The following is a 16,087-nucleotide window of genomic DNA, read 5'->3' on the forward strand; positions in this document are numbered from 1 at the left end:
GAAAGAACTATTTAGATTTGGAGAACAATTACGTATTCCTCAACAGGACATTATTATATGTACAAAAAGTGAAATATTTAATTTTCAGGATGACCCACATTCAGTGAGGAAACATTCAGTTACATTCAATATATTCTATTTAAGAACATAAGGATCATGTATATGTTTAAGAAGACTTCTACTTAATCTAGCTAATACATTATGGTTCCAGTGTTTGACCTTTACTTATATGGAAATTTAAACCACCCTGAATGATTCATCTGATTAAAATTCTGGATATATAAGAGCTCTTGGGTTAAGGAAAACACGTGTGAATGTTAAGGTACTTTAAGGAAATAGGAGATTATTAACTAAATTGTATACAACAAAAATCCTCCATAAGCCTCTGTAAATTCAAGAGAATATACTAGGGAGGGTATTAAATAAGTTAGTTATAGTTACTACTCTTTTGGAAGATAGAATATTCTAAAATATTTAAAAAGTTAACACATTTATGAAATAAATGCTTGCATAAAATACTATGTGTATATCTGTGTGTGCTTTCTCCCAGCTTCCCCTGGAAATTAGTTTACTAGAATATCCTTATTGCTAACACATTTCCACGTTCTCCTGACTCTCTTGGGATCATCTGAACTATGGGGCTAACTTACTCTCACTCTACTACAAAAATTTAACTAACAGGAATAATCGTAAAGCAAACATTTTAAGTGTATCCTGAATAAAAAATTGTCTCCATGCTTCTCCATTCTGCTTTCTCATCTTCTAACAAAAACTACCAGAAGAGACTAAGGACTAAATTTTGGGACAGGTGAAGGAGAGAGTTGAATCTCTCTGCCAGGAGAATGGAAGAAACATATCTGTTATCGTTGTTGTTTCTAGAGGAATGGAACCAAACTAAGGGGTTTGGGATAGAGGAGAAAAGGTTTGGAAAAGGAATAAGAGAGAGGAGCCAATAGACTTGAAAAATAGCTTGTATCGAATTGCATTTTACAGTGATTGTGCTGCACTCATCTCCAATGCTACAATAAAATCAAATGCCCACAAAAAGACCACAAATTAATGAGTGATTTATTTTTAAATAAATAAAATAAATAGGGATCAAAAGCAGAAACTTTTTTTTTTTTCTAATTTCTGTCAACAACAGAATCAATGCCAGGACAGGGATAAAGGTGGAAAATGCAAAGCCAAAAACAATAATTTAGTGGAAACAGGAAGTTAAAGCCAGAAGTAACCTTAAGGTTCTAAGTCCTTGGAAATTCCCTTACATACAGAGAAAGCCATTGGATTTTTGTATATGGAGGGAATACTGGTTCATCCCAGTCTGACCCAAAAGTTATGCGGGAGAATAGTTAAGTTCCAGAGAGATGTAGCTAATGTCTGAGTATCTACTTAGTGGCCACAGACATTGAAAATCTTGAAAATGCCCAAATCTTGAACTTGAGCACTTCAGTTTTAGCCACAAGAGTGAAGAGGTAGACCAGCAGCTTTCCTAAGGCCTCAGTTGATGGGCCTTGCCTTCAGTCCTTCATAACCTCAGGCAGCATCATCCTCTGTGCCCAACGTGACCTCTGCTCTATTCTGTGCTTCACAAGCTTAATGGACTTACTTTGTAGTAGACCACTCATTCTTCTACAGTCTTGATTGTATGGAAAGAGGGAAACTACAGTAGTTTTTTTCTGTAACAATTGTCTGCTGTTATTTTCTGTACATTTCTCTGGCATTCACCCTGAATTCATTTTCTGGTCATGCATTAACTTACATTCTCCCGTGGGGTCTCACTTTCCATTTAGTCCTCCTGTTCCTAGACTTGATGATGTTTATCTGTGTTGTCTGGTATCCTACTAGTGACAGGTCCTGTTTATCAGTTTGCTAATTATCACACAGCTCAGCCACAGCCTTGTGAAATAAACATACTAGTTAAGTATGGTGGTATGTTAAGGAGTAAAAGTAAAGTCTGTGAGTTGCATACTTAGAAACCGTGACAGGAATTTATCGCTTCATTCTCATTGACATTTATGTTGTGGTAGATGAAAGGACAGTCTGACAAGAAGAGAGCACGTGTTTGGGAATCAGATATTCATACACTTGAATTTTATTTTTACCCCTTACTAACTAATAGCTATTTAACGGCCATGAGCCTTAATTCCCTTGTGAAGTCAGGATGGTAATACTTGACTCATGTGTGCAGTTATAAGTAAAAGGAAAGCACCCTCTACATGATAACTTTCACATGATAGGGGTATGGATAAATTATGCTTGCAATAGCATAGTCATAATAATACTTTTAAATTAGTGACTCACTTCCAAGAATGGAGTATAGGAAAGTGAAAATTGTAAAATTATAATGAAGAAACCTGGCAGAAACCTCTTTAACCAAGTTTCATTCTGTTTTCTACTTCTGTGTTAGAATGCTGGAGACTGTGTAATTTATAGAAAAAAAGAAATATATTTCTTACAGTTCAGGAGGATAGGGAGTTCAAGGTGGAGGGGCTGCCTCTAGGGAGGGCTTTTTACTGTGTGATGCAGAGGCTATCACATGATGAGAGGGCAAGAGCATGCCAGCTCAGGTCTCTCTTTATCTTCTTGTAAAGCCACAAGTTCCACCATGGGGCCTCTACCCTGATGACCTTATCTCATCTTAATTACCTCCCAAAAGCCCCACCTCCAAATGCTATCAACATATGAATTTGGAGATTAAATTTCAAACAAATGAAATTTAGGGAACACAGAAACACATTCACACAATGGCACCAAGTTATCAAGGTGAACATCACCAGTGATAAGTCATGTGGCTCTACTCTACTTATGTGGGTGTGATAGGAAGGGCACTTCACCTCGTTGTTTTTCCCCCAAATTTATATCCTCAGTCCAATCACAAAAAAACACCAGACAAATTCAAATTCAGGAATATTCTATAAAATACTTGATCAGGAATCTTCAAAAAGCATGTAGGTCATGAAAAACAAGGAAAGATGGGAAACTGTCACAGATCAGAGGAGACAGCAAGTAAATGCAACCTGGGACCCTGGATTAGATCTTAGAACAGCAAAAAGGATACTAGTAAAAACTGATGAAATTCAAATAAAATCTGTAGTTTAGTAAACGGTATTGTACTCACGTTAATTTCTTTGTTTTAACAAATGTCTTATGGTTATCTAAGATGGTAACATGGAAAACTGGGTGAAAGGTATATGGGAACTTATACTATCTTGAAAACTTTTCTGAAAATCTGAAATTATTCCAAACAAAAAGTTTGTTGTTGTTGTTGTTGTTGTTGTTGTTTAAACTGAAAAGGAAAAACATTTGGTAGGTAACAGATCAGTGGTTGCCAGGGGTTAGGGTACGGGGAGCATAAGGGAGATTTTAGGGGTGATGAGGCTCTTCTACATCTTGCTTGTGATTATAGTTATTTGAATCTATAAATGTGTTAAAATGAGGACACCAAAAATGTCAATTTTACCATATGCCAATTTGTTTAAAATAAAACAAAATAAAAGAAACAAATGTCAATGGGAAGCATAAGTACTTTTTATAGTAAATAAGGCAAAAGGGGAAAATGTTGGCCGGGCACGGTGGCTCATGTCTGTAATCCCAGCACCTTGGGAGACTGAGGCGGGTGGATCACCTGAGGTCAGGAGTTCGAGACCAGCCTGGCCAACATGTTGAAACCGCATCCCTACTAAAAATACAAAAAAAAAAAAAAAAAAAAATAGCCAGGAATTGTGGTGGGTGCCTGTAATCCCAGCTACTCAGAAGGCTGAGGCAGGAGAATCACTTGAACCCGGGAAGCGGAGGTTGCAGTGAGCCGAGATCTCACCACTGCACTCCAGCCTGGGCAACAATAGTGAAACTCCATCTCAAAAAAAAAAAAAAAAAAAAGGTTGGGTGGGAAAGTTTATAGACAGTGTAAAATTGCTGCCTTCTTTCTTACATATAACACTGTCATCATCAAATTGAAGAAACCTTATTAAATATATTTATTCTTTCCTTTAACAAATATTCATTGAATCCTAATGGTGTGTCAAGTACTGTGCTAAGCCTTGCCAGTAGACAAGAACTTGATGTGTTCTAGATGTTAAAAGAAGCCCTTATTCCAAGATAGGCCAGCATATACTATTAAAAAGTTATTGCATGAAGTCAGGGTGTAGACATATCGGGGGTTAAACAGACATGAAATATTTACATGATATTTCAAGATAATGTTGGTACTCTATTAAACAAAATGAATTATGATGACATAAGTTAAGAGGAGACTTAAGACAGCCTTGGATGTATAAAGAATTTTTGTGAAGGAGGTACAGAGAACTTGCAGAGTTTTCTTGTCTGTAATGTAAGACTATTATATTTAGAAAAGGAACATTGAAATTTAAACAATGTAATGTTTTTAGTTCAAAAGTATATTAAAATACCCAACACTAATGAGCATTTAGCATAAGTAAAACACTATTGTAAGGACTTTACATATGTTAACCTACATGATTCTCGTAAGAATTTTAGAAGATAGATACTATTATTTCCCCTGTTTTATAGATAAAGAAACTGACACCAAGCATGTAATGTGCCTAAGATCATACAGCCAGTAAGTAAGAAAGCCAGAATTTGAGTCCAGGTATTTGACTCCAAAGCACACACTCCACCATACTAAATACATGGCATCTATAGTGATGGTTATTTAACTTTCCCAGCTGGAAATAGCATTAAGTGTTTCAAATATCCAAGGAACCGTGTTTTTTTTTTTTTTTTTTTTTTTTTCTGATTGAAAATACAACTGGTTATAACATTTGTTTTTTTCTGGAAGCAGATAGCCTTTGCCATGCCTTCCAGTTGGCACCTTGCCCCTTGCTAATATGCATGGATGGGTGCCTTTTGCTTTGCAGCCTGCCAGTAGAACGTGACCTTGGCAGCCCGGTGTGCCAGCCAAGATTCCAGAAGAGCGAAAGTAGCTCTTAACTTCTTGAAGAAACTCTTTGAATCACCAACTATGCCTTGCCATATCTGTCCACATGGTACTAGTCCTTTCACAAGGGGCTCCCAAGCTAATGACTCTAATTGGGGCTCAACTGTCTCTCTAATACATTCTTTCCTTAATTTTATGTTTTTCTCTGGTTGGAATTTCCTAATGTCTAAAATATTCCATTCTGTGTTACTCAGCAACGATCTTATTTGCTTGCAAGCATTGTGGTGACAAACATAATAATTAATTATGTGGAATTTTGTTTAGAAATATTTTTGTTGGAACAGAAACAGGAATTCTATATCTGTACAGTGACTGAAATACAAGGGCCCTCTCTAAATGAATTATGTGTTTAAATGTTCAGATTTTATAGTCTATTTAATCCTGTAAATCTTAATAATAAATTTGATGGCAAGCAGACTGTGAGTGGAATTTTAGATAACAACATATGTTCATAGTGATTCATGAAAATGTAATCCTTTATGGTAAATCTGTATTATTTATACCAAATCTTTCTCTCTGGCCTAGACCGCTTTTTTAAATTCCAGACTTCCTACAGATATATCCATTTAGATCAGGGTTTTTGAGATTTGATGCTGTTAACATTTTGGACTGGCCAGTTCTTTGTTGTGGGGTGCCATCCTTCCCATTGCAGGATGTTTAGCAGCGTCTCTGGCCTCTACGCCCTAGATGCCAGTAGCACAACACTCCACTCTGTGGTGACAATCAAAAATGTCTTCAGAAGTTGCCATAAGACCCCGGGGCAATAAAATCATCTCTATTCACGAACCACTGATCTCGATGTTCTATAGGCTTATGAAAAATGACATATACAAAATTAAACTCATTTTCCCCTTAGAGCTTCTCCTACAGAGGGGTTAGGAGCATATCTGAAGCAAACTCTGCCTCCCTGCTTTGATAGCTGTGGAACTTGATCAAATTACCAACTTCTCTATACCTCAATTTCCTCATCTCTAATATAAATACCTTAATAAAACCTCCTTCATATGACTGTTAGGAGGATTGAATGAACTAATATGTATAAAACATTTAAAGCAGTTCCTGGCACATAGGATGCCTAAGTTAATATTTGAATAATCAATTAATACTATTAAATGTTAGCAATAGTCCTACAGTACAGGAAAATTCTAAGATTTTTCTTTGTATAGAATATGTGCAGATACTTTTTTAAAAAGATTAATAAGTGACAGTAAATACATGCAACAAAGCTCAACATCATTAATAATCAAGAAAACACAAAATAACATCATGATATATAAATCTATTAAATTTGGAAATATTTTTAAAAATACTTCATATTAATAAGATTGTGGCAAAAGGCCCTGTACTGTACTGATGGGAGAATATGTGTCTGTTTTCTTTCTGGAGGATCAGTTACCACTATGTATCAGAGCATTAAAATATTTATAGTCTTTCACAGAGTTAATCTAGCTCTAGAAATTTATCCTAAGTGTGTAATATGTTAAAAATTAATGAAGTATATTAATTACTGTTATTTATAATGGCAAAATTAGAAGCTACCTAAAATCTCAATAACGGGAATGAAGAAATAGCTCATGGTATATTTATGTCATGCAATATGTAGATATCACATTTTACAAATAATAAATTAGGAGAATGCTCCGACTATGGTAATTCTTAGTTCAAAATGCCTCCATCACTTTCAAGATAATAATAGAAATATTTAAGTGTGCATTATCATGCACACATAAACATACACCTTTTAAAGTTATTTTTTGACAGACCCTGTGTATTTATCGAGTCATTTTTTCTCTCTAGGTTTCCTTCCAAATTCTCTACCCACACACCTTAAGAGATTCTGATACATCATAAATAGAGGGACATACATCTTTACATGAAAACGACATGGAAGATTTTCTGAGGGACATGTGAATGGTGAATTTGCATGATGTGGAGACCCAAAATGGCTGAGGACTGCTGCTCAGTGCCCCAGCTCTGTTCACTCGCCTAGAGTTTCCTCAACAAGCCCTGCTGCTTCTGTCTTCTGAGCTCTGACCCACCAAGCCATTTCCTCTACTTGGAGTGCTTTCCTTCCCTTTCTGCTTTTCCCTTCTCAAAACCAAGCTAAAACATTGCCTGCTCTATGAAACTTATCCTATCACCCTGTTCAGATGCACATGCCTTTCTTCTCTACTTTTGTGACACCACATGCAGATCTGTTCATCATATTTTCTGGTATTCATTTGTTTAAAAATATGAATTGAGATACCACTAAATGCCAGATGCTATATTAAGTGCTAACTACAGTCTTGGTGAACAAAAAGGTAAAATTTTCCTGCTCTCGTGGGGCCTGCATTCTTATGGAGGAGATGGAATATATTTTTTAAAACATAAAATCTAAATTTATTTTGAGGTGATTTTGATCAGCACCTCAAAGAAGCAAGAGGGTGAACAGCAGTAATATCTGAGGGACAAGCATTCTAATTATAGGGAACAGCATATTTAAAAGTCCTGGACTCGTTCAGTGTATTTTAGGAAAAAAAAAAAAAAAAGAAAAGTGGCTTACAAGGTTGAGACTAGCAGAAGTGCAGCAAGAAATGTGACCAGGAAGACACCAAGATGCTGTATGATAAAGTCCTGAGGCCACTGTAAGATCTTTGGATTTTAATTTAAGTGTGTAGAATAACATGATCTTATTTACGTAGTAAAATACTAAGAGGCAACCTTCTGGCTGCTCTGTAAGAAGGGATTGTAGGACCCAAAGTGAAAGCAGGATGGTCAGCTAGAGGCTGTCATGGTGATTTAGCTAATTGATGTTGCTGGCTTGGATCTAGGTGACAACACTGGAGGTGGGGAGAAGTTATCAGATTTGAAGGATATTTTGAAGGTAGAGTTGATAAAGATCTCATAGGTTTGGTATAGGTTAAAGAAAGCTAAGCCTCAAGGACAACTCTTTAAGTTTTGGGCTTCAATAATTGGATGGATTTTGGTGGCACTTTGGTGAATGCTGAGTGAAGGACATGTTTAAGAATGAAAACATGTTAATAGATTCTGGCTGTATTATTAGGTGTGAGATGCCAACCAGGCATCAATGTGGAGATGTTGAAGGGACAGTGTTTAGGAAAAGGGTCAGAACAGAGATATGTATTTGGGCATCATCCTCATATAGATAGTACTTAAAGTTATGATGCTGACATGCCTACCAGGGCTGTGAGCATAGTCTGTGAAGATACAAGTTCTGAGGTCTGAACTCTGGGACACTCCACCATTTAGGGAGCAGAAAGAGAGTCTAACAACAACAACAAAGATGAGTATGAGTGGTTAATGAATTAAGAGAACAGGAGGATGTGGACTATTAGAAACTAAGGAAAGACAGTATTTCAGGAAGGGGGAGCTGATCATCTAGGTCAAATACATAAAGAATTTACCACTGGATTTGCATTGTGGAGGTCATTGCCAAATGGCTACCTTTGTCAGAGCCATGATGCTATTCCTTGGCAAATGTTGACTTACTTATCTGTTTCTTCCAGGAAACCTGTGAACCTCACATAGGAGTGATTTTGCCCTCCAGGAAACCTTTGGCGATATCTGGAGACATTTTTGGTTGTCAAAACTGAGCGGTGGTGGAGTGATGCTACTGGCATCTAATGGATGGAGGCACAGGATGCTGCTGAACATCCTGCAATGCACAGAGCAGCTCCCCCACAACAAAATAATGATCTGGCTCCAAACGTCAATGGTTCCAAAGTTGAGAAATCCTGCACTAAACGTATGGTTCCCAAAGTGTGTGCTTAGACACCCCAGGGTGGACATAGGAGTGCCGTAGGACATTTTAAAGTGTGAATGGAAACACAGTGGCATCTGTCAAGCACTAAATGAACTACTAACTCAAGATAGTTCACAGTTTCAACATTAGCTTTCTTTTTTTTTTTTTAAATAATGTCTCTTTGTAAAACTTGGTTTTGGAAGTTGCTGTGATAAGAATCAAATACTTGGTGAATATCACTGTGGAATAAGAAGTGAGAATGGCAGTTTCCAATCTGACTTCAAGGTTTGTGAAGTTGGGTAGTGACCAGAAGTTGTTGAGTTTTTAGGACGTAAATAGTTATTAAATTGTTTGGACTTGACAACTCAAGAAACTCAATTATTAGGTATATCTTTTGGCCTAGGGGGTGTAGTAAAAAATTATGGATATGCCACGGGCACCATAAAGCAGAAGGCTTGAAACTGCTGGGCTTGACTTTAAGTTCCTTGGGAATAGGCATTGTGTATTAGTACTTTATATCTGCAGCACCCAAAACAGTGCCTGCTACAAGTGTGAGGTGCGAGAATGCCAAACAGATATCCATAAGGAGATTGAGGGAAATTTAATAAATTTAAGAAATAAAATGGCAGGTATGAAATGAATGAAAGGGCACATGTGCACTGTAGTGTCAAGAGAATTATATGTTAAGTGGCAAAATTCGACCTACTGGTTCACTATGCACTACAACATCCCTAAATACCTCCCTACTTATATAGGATAAAATAAGAGAGGGGAAAAGAATAAAGCTTGACTTTCTTATTCTTTGGCCTGTGAATCTCTAGACTAAAATTTCTTGAGTTTGGTGCAAGTTTACTTCCTCAGATTACATTATTTTTTCCCAATACAAATTTCTATTCTCACTTATATTATGCATATTGACAAAACTGTGATCTTATTCTGCAGGAATATGTGAACGGGAGTAATTTGAATATCTCCTAAATTTTTGGCTGCTTTTCTTCCTGCCCCTTTTGCCAAGCACTACATGCCCTAGCCTAATGATTGCATAGATGTTGGAAAGAGATGTTCTTTTTAGAGTTAGTGATTCTATTTTGTTTTTGAAAAAAATCTTTTCAGTGTAAGAATATGATTTCAGAATATAAACTTGTGGAAATATTCTTGGTATAGTGGCAAGAAGTCAGCTTTTAGAATGGGATATATAGTCCCATGCATCTCACTCTCACTGGGTCACATCTGGATCAAGGCATAAGGTTTCTTTGACTCTTAGATTTGTCACCTGTAAACTCGGAATACGAACTCTCCAAGTTCTTATGAGGATTAGACTAGTTAGCTGATGACAAGTACCTATCACAGTGCTTGACACAAGGAGATACTCAATAAATTATAGCTTCTCCTTATATTTCAACCTGACCTATCCTGACACCTTCTTTCTCCTTCTCATTCTCTTAGTCTTTTGTTTGACTTTAACACCTAGGATGAAGCTTATAGAACTTATTACCATTTTAAAATAGGCAAGTTGTTTGCTTTGTTGGTATTTTGTGTTGTATAGTGATGGGGTGGTATTTTCCCTATTAATAATGTAGTGCATCAACAAATGTAAATATATTCATAGAAAGTTCTCCAGCAGGGACAGAGTTGGAGAATCGCTGAGTCACCAGTCTCCCCTCACCTGAGAGTGTTCACAGTGAAACTTCTCTCCGTTGTGTGTTTTGTGGCCTTGCTTATTTGCAATGGTCTGTCCTGAAGAATTTGAGATTAGAGACCCCGTGGATAATCATATTCCAAGGTCACCAGTAAAACTAAATTTCTGTAATAGTTATAACTTCTACTAAATATTTTTGCTAGAGCAGCTAAAATGCAGTCTGCCTGTGAAATCTGGCTGACTTACCTTATTCAGCCTATAAAAGTTATGTTTACTCTACAGTGTAGTCATTTAAGTATGTAACAGCATTAGCCTAAAAACTATACATACTTTAATTAAAAATTACTTTATTGCTTAAAATTGCTAATGATCATCTTCACTGAGTCACAACCTTTTTTGCTGGCTGAGGGTCTTGCCTCAATGTCGATGGCTGCTGACCAATCAGGGTGGTGGTTGCTGAAGGATAGGGTGACTCTGACACTTTCTTTTTTTTTCTTTGAGACGGAGTCTCGCTCTGTTGCCCAGGCTGGAGTGCAGTGGCACGATCTCCGCTCACTGCAAGCTCTGCCTCCCGGGTTCAGGCCATTCTCCTGCCTCAGCCTCCCGAGTAGCTGGGACTACAGGCACCTGCAACCCCGCCCGGCTAATCTTTTGTATTTTTAGTGGAGACGGGGTTTCACCATGTTAGCCAGGACAGTCTTGATCTCCTGACCTTGTGATCTGCCCTCCTCGGCCTCCCAAAGTGCTGGGATTACAGGCGTGAGCCACCATGCCCGGCCGACTGTGGCACTTTCTTAAAATAAGACAACAATGAAGTTGGCTGCATCGATTGACTTTTCCTTTCATGAAAGATTTATCTACAGCAAGTAATGCTGATGTGGTTTCATAGCATTTGACCTACACTAGAACTTCTTTCAAAATTGAAGTCAATGCTTCTCAAACCCTGCTTCTGCTTTATCAGCTAAGTTTATGTAATATTCTGAATCCTTTGTCATCATTTCCACAGTGTTCACAGCATCTTCACCAGGAGTAGATTCCATTTCAAGAAACCCCTTCCTTCCTTCCTTCCTTCCTTCCTTCCTTCCTTCCTTCCTTCCTTCCTACCCTCCCTCCCTCCCTCCCTCCCTCTCTCCCTCTCTCCCTCTCTCCCTTTCTCCCTCCCTCTCTCCCTCCCTCCATTTGCATTCACAATTTTGTGGTTTGGTTCAAGAGGCCTTGCTCTCCACCTGTCTTGGCTGTCAACATGCCTTCCTAACTCAGCTTAATCATTTCTAGCTCTTGATTGAAAGAGAGATGTGCAACTCTTTCTCTTTCACTTGAACACTTAGAGGCCATTGTAGGGTTATTAATTGCCCTAATTTCAATATTCTTGTGTCTCTGTGAATAGGGAGACCTGAGGAGAGGCAGAGAGTCAGAGACTGACTGCTGGTCAGTGAAGTCGGAACACCACACACAACATTTACAGATTAAGTTCGCCGTCTTATATGGGTGTGGTTCGTGGTGCTCCAAAACAATTACACTAGTAACATCAAAGATCACTGATTACAGATTACCCTAACAGATATAATAATAATGAAAAAAAATTGAACTATTGCAAGAATTACAAAAATTTGATAGAGACATAAAGTGAGCACATGCTGCTGGAAAAATGACACTGACACACTTGCTCAAAGCCGAGTTGCCACAAAACATCAATTTGTAAGAGGAAAAATATCTACAAAGCACAATAAAGCAAAGCAAAATAAAATGAGATATGTCTGTAGTTGTATCTGGTATGTAATTAGCTCTTGGATTTATTGCTTTAATAAGTGTATGTGAGTCTATTGGTGTAACCTTCACTATGTAAAAAAAGCAACACTTTTGTAACACATTTATGACAAAGGACTCATATCTAAAATGTATAAATAACTCAACACTCAACAGTAAAATAAACAACCAGAGCAATAAGGAAATGGGCAAAAATATTAAAAGACTGTTCACTGAGGAGGATATACAAATATCAAGTAAGCACACAAAAATGTAATAAATATCAGTGGGTAAATATATATATCTCTATGATAATAGCTGGAATTCAAATTATAATGTCAAATGCTAGTGAGGATGTGGATAAATTGGAGCGCTCATACATTGGTATTGGGAATGTAAAATGATACTGCTATTCTGGAAAATAGTTTGGCTGATTCTTTAAAGATATAAAAAATAGGCCAGGTGTGGTGGCTCATGCCTGTAATCTCAGCACTTTGGGAGGCCAAGGCGGGAGGATCGCGAGGTCAAGAGATCGAGACTATCCTGACCAATATGGTGAAACCCCATCTCTACTAAAAATACAAAAATTAGCTGGGTGTGGTGGTGCGTGCCTGTAGTCCCAGCTACTCAGGAAGCTGAGGCAGGAGAATCGCTTGGACCTGGGAGGTGGGGGTTGCAGTGAGCTGAGATTGCACCACTGCACTCCAGCCTGGTGACAGAGCAAGACTCTGTCTGAAATAAATAAATAAACAAACAAACAAATTTACCATATAAGCCAGCAATTGCACTTCTGGAAATTTGTCCTACAAAAATTAAAACTTATGTTCGCACAGAATATTGTGCACAGTTGTTCACTGCAGCTGTTTTCATTTGAAATAACTCAAAACAATAAACATTCACAGTGTCCCTCAATAGCTGAATAGTTAAACAAACTGTGTGGTACATCCATGCCATGGAATACTGCATTGCAATAAAAATGAATGTACTGTTGATACAGACAACAGCTTGGATGGACCTCTAGGGCATTATATTGAAGGAAAAAAAGCCAATTTCAACAGTTTACATATGGTATGCTTCAATTTATTAACATTTTAAGGATGTTAACTTCCTGATTTTGATATTGTACTATTATTATATAAGATGTAACCATTGGGGAAAACTAGGTGAAGCTTTCACAGGATTCCTCTTTGTACTACTTTTGCAACTCTCCAAGAATCTATAATTATTTCAAAATAAAAAGGTGGTTTTTTTTTTTTGGTAAAGTCATATTTTATGCACACGCACACCCACACCCACACATACACACAGTTTCTTATGGGGAAATGTTATTTTGAAGTAAATTGGGAATGTAGGCATTTCATTTATTCTTTCCAAAATCATTTGTTTCTACTTTTGCAGGATTTTTTTTCTTCTTCCTCCTCTTTCTCTCCCTTCTCCCTAGTTCTTTTTTTTTTGTAGGATACTGAGATAGCTTACTTTTCTTGCTTAGGAATGCCTTCATTTTTTGGAAAGGCATTCTTTATTTTTTTTTTACCATTTTCAACTCAATTTTAGTTATTTAATTTTCCTGTCATTATAATTTGGATATATAACTTCTTTGAGAAGTGCAGATCATTTCATAGCTATCTCATTCTTTATAACTCAATCTTTTTGTTTTTTAACAGATTAGAACCTAAAGCAGAGAAAGTTAGTGATAGAAAGCATGAAGTAGAGTAACAAAACTGAAAACAGCCAGTTGCCCTACCAACCTGTTCTGCTCTATTCTTCTATTTTTTACTGTACTATATTCGATCCCATTTTTTTCGTTCCATTCTATGTTATGATTTCCCAACCTATATGTATTCCATTCATCCTGTTCTGTTCCATTCTATGCAATAAATATTTAATGAGTGTTTAGTATGTGGCAGGTGTTAGTCTATGTGGCTTGGCATGTACCAGTCAACACAACAGATAAAAAAATTGCTGCTCTTCTAAAGCTTACATTACAAGAGGAGGAGACAGAAACAAAACAGACTTAATTCGTAAGTAAATTTTAGAAGTTAGTGAGTGCTATGGAATAAAGAAAGAGTTAAGTAGGTGGGGGATATCAGGTGGGAATGGAGGGAAAGTTACAATTTTCAAACAGGGTAAGGTGTGAGAAACTGTAAGGAATTTTGCCATAAATTGATCTGAGCGATGCATTTTCTGATCACTAAGAATAGCAAGGCCAAAGGCACTAGGATGTGAGATGCCTGGAATGTTTAAGAAACAGCAGGGAGATCAGAGTGGCTGGAGTAGAGTGGTGAGAGGAGAGTAGGTGCAGGTGAGGTCAGATAGGAAAGAAAGATCTGACTACAAAGGGCTTTTGAAGGTGTTGGTTTTTACTCTGAGCAAAATAGTCAGCCATGGCAGGGCTTTCAGCAGAAGACCACATGATCTCAATTATAGTTTAGGACCCTAGCAATCCTGTTGAGAAAGACATTGGCTTATTCTATACTCTTAGCTGTGAAGGTAGAGAGAATTATTATTCATATTATTAACAACAACCACATACATCAAAAAACCCTCAGGATATTTTGAAGATAGAGTCAAAGGGATTTCCTGATGAATTTAATACAGATTGTGAGAGAATGGAAGGGGTAAAACATGATTCCAAGGATTTGGGCATGAGCATCTGGAAGGTTAGTGTTGCCAACAACCAATATGGAGAAGATGGCATATGGAGCAGGTTTGAGGGGGAATGTCAGGAGATCTTTTTTTAGATATGGTAACTTTGATATATCTTTTAGACATACAAGTAGACATTGCTTGTAGGCAGGTGGGTATATGAGTCTGGAGTTCATGAAAGAGATCCAGGGCAGAGATACATATCTGAGAGTTGCCAACACATAGTGATATTTATCATGAGATTAGATGAGGTTACCGAGGAAGTGACTATAGGTGGAGAAGAAGACCAAGAACTAAACCCCGGGGAACCAGAGTTAAGAAGTCAGGGAATAGACAAGGAACCAGAAAATGAGACAAGAAGCAACTAGTGAGATAGAAACCCTGACAATGTGTGTCCTCTCAGCCAAAAGAAGAATAAGTATCAAAAGCGATCCAATTACTAAACTGTGTCTCTTACCTCAGTGCAAATGTGTATGATGTGATTCAATATCTTCCTGTATCCCTAATTTTATTTTTATTCTATTTTTATACTGGAAAACAGGATCATTTTTTGTTTGAAATTTAGCCTGCTAAGAAAAAGTAGACTTTGTTGTTATTGTTGCTTAAGTTTCAAACAGAATCAACATTGTTTAAAATTGTTTTAAGAACTAGATTTGGTGTTAACAGTTTTTCTGTGGTGAGTCTGAATTTCCTTGAGCCGTTATTTACAGCAGAAGGTAACCACTACACTTATTCTAGGAGGCTGGATTGAAATGTATTTTATGTATTATTATCTTAGGAAAAAGATATTAAGCATCTTATCTTTATTATGATCACATTTGTTATTATCAGCATCTTCTATAGATAGTACTTTTTGAGGCTACATGTTATTGTGGACTTGTGCATTTTTAAAAGATTAAGCATTTGGCTTGGAATTATCAAGTAATCCTGTGTAGTAACTGTGATTAAAATTATACAGGAATTCATTTCAAACTGTGACAAATATATTGTAGCTTACACTCTTATTGAATTTGTTCATATATTTTATCAAGAATGTCAAGTATTTTTACATTAGGTTTATGTAGGTTTATAGGTGGAAATATAAATTATTAGTAATGCAAATTATGATCTTGAAAAAGTAGCTAGATTTTCAGGTTTTCCTTTTTTTTGAGCCTGCAGACTATTTGGAAATTAATTTGCATTTTTTTGGTGTGTATTTATATTGTCTTTTGCTTATATTCTGCATTACAGGATTCTGAGTTTCCACTTAATGAGTAGGCTTTACAGTACCCACAAATTACTGCAACAAAGTTAAAAAAAAAAGCACTAGAAGCCTAATGAAATGGACTGCTGAGAACAGAGCTGAATAAACACA

At 36.9% G+C, this 16,087-nt stretch overlaps 1 protein-coding gene across 40 annotated transcripts in view, besides 1 other annotated feature; it reads left to right on the forward strand.

Moving 5' to 3' along the window:
• HDAC9 (histone deacetylase 9) overlaps positions 1 to 16,087 on the forward strand; it is a 915,592-nt gene that overhangs the window by 449,590 nt on the left and 449,915 nt on the right. The window contains exons 3-4 of one of the 40 annotated variants that reach the window (NR_135835.2): positions 6,755 to 6,871; positions 11,729 to 12,093. The exons of the other annotated variants lie outside the window; for them this stretch is intronic. The gene's annotated coding sequence lies outside the window, so the exon portion shown is untranslated. Of the gene's footprint in view, positions 1 to 6,754; positions 6,872 to 11,728; positions 12,094 to 16,087 lie in introns of those variants that run through there. 40 annotated transcript variants of the gene reach the window in all.
• Positions 14,111 to 14,612: an enhancer, noted in NCBI's record as "NANOG hESC enhancer chr7:18590148-18590649 (GRCh37/hg19 assembly coordinates)". NCBI's record gives its function as "activates a minimal SCP1, AML or CMV promoter by ChIP-STARR-seq in primed H9 embryonic stem cells {active_cell/tissue: H9 hESC(primed)}" and the evidence as "EXISTENCE:reporter gene assay evidence [ECO:0000049][PMID:30033119]".

Source organism: Homo sapiens, chromosome 7, assembly GCF_000001405.40.
Source record: "Homo sapiens chromosome 7, GRCh38.p14 Primary Assembly".
NCBI lineage: Eukaryota > Metazoa > Chordata > Mammalia > Primates > Hominidae > Homo > Homo sapiens.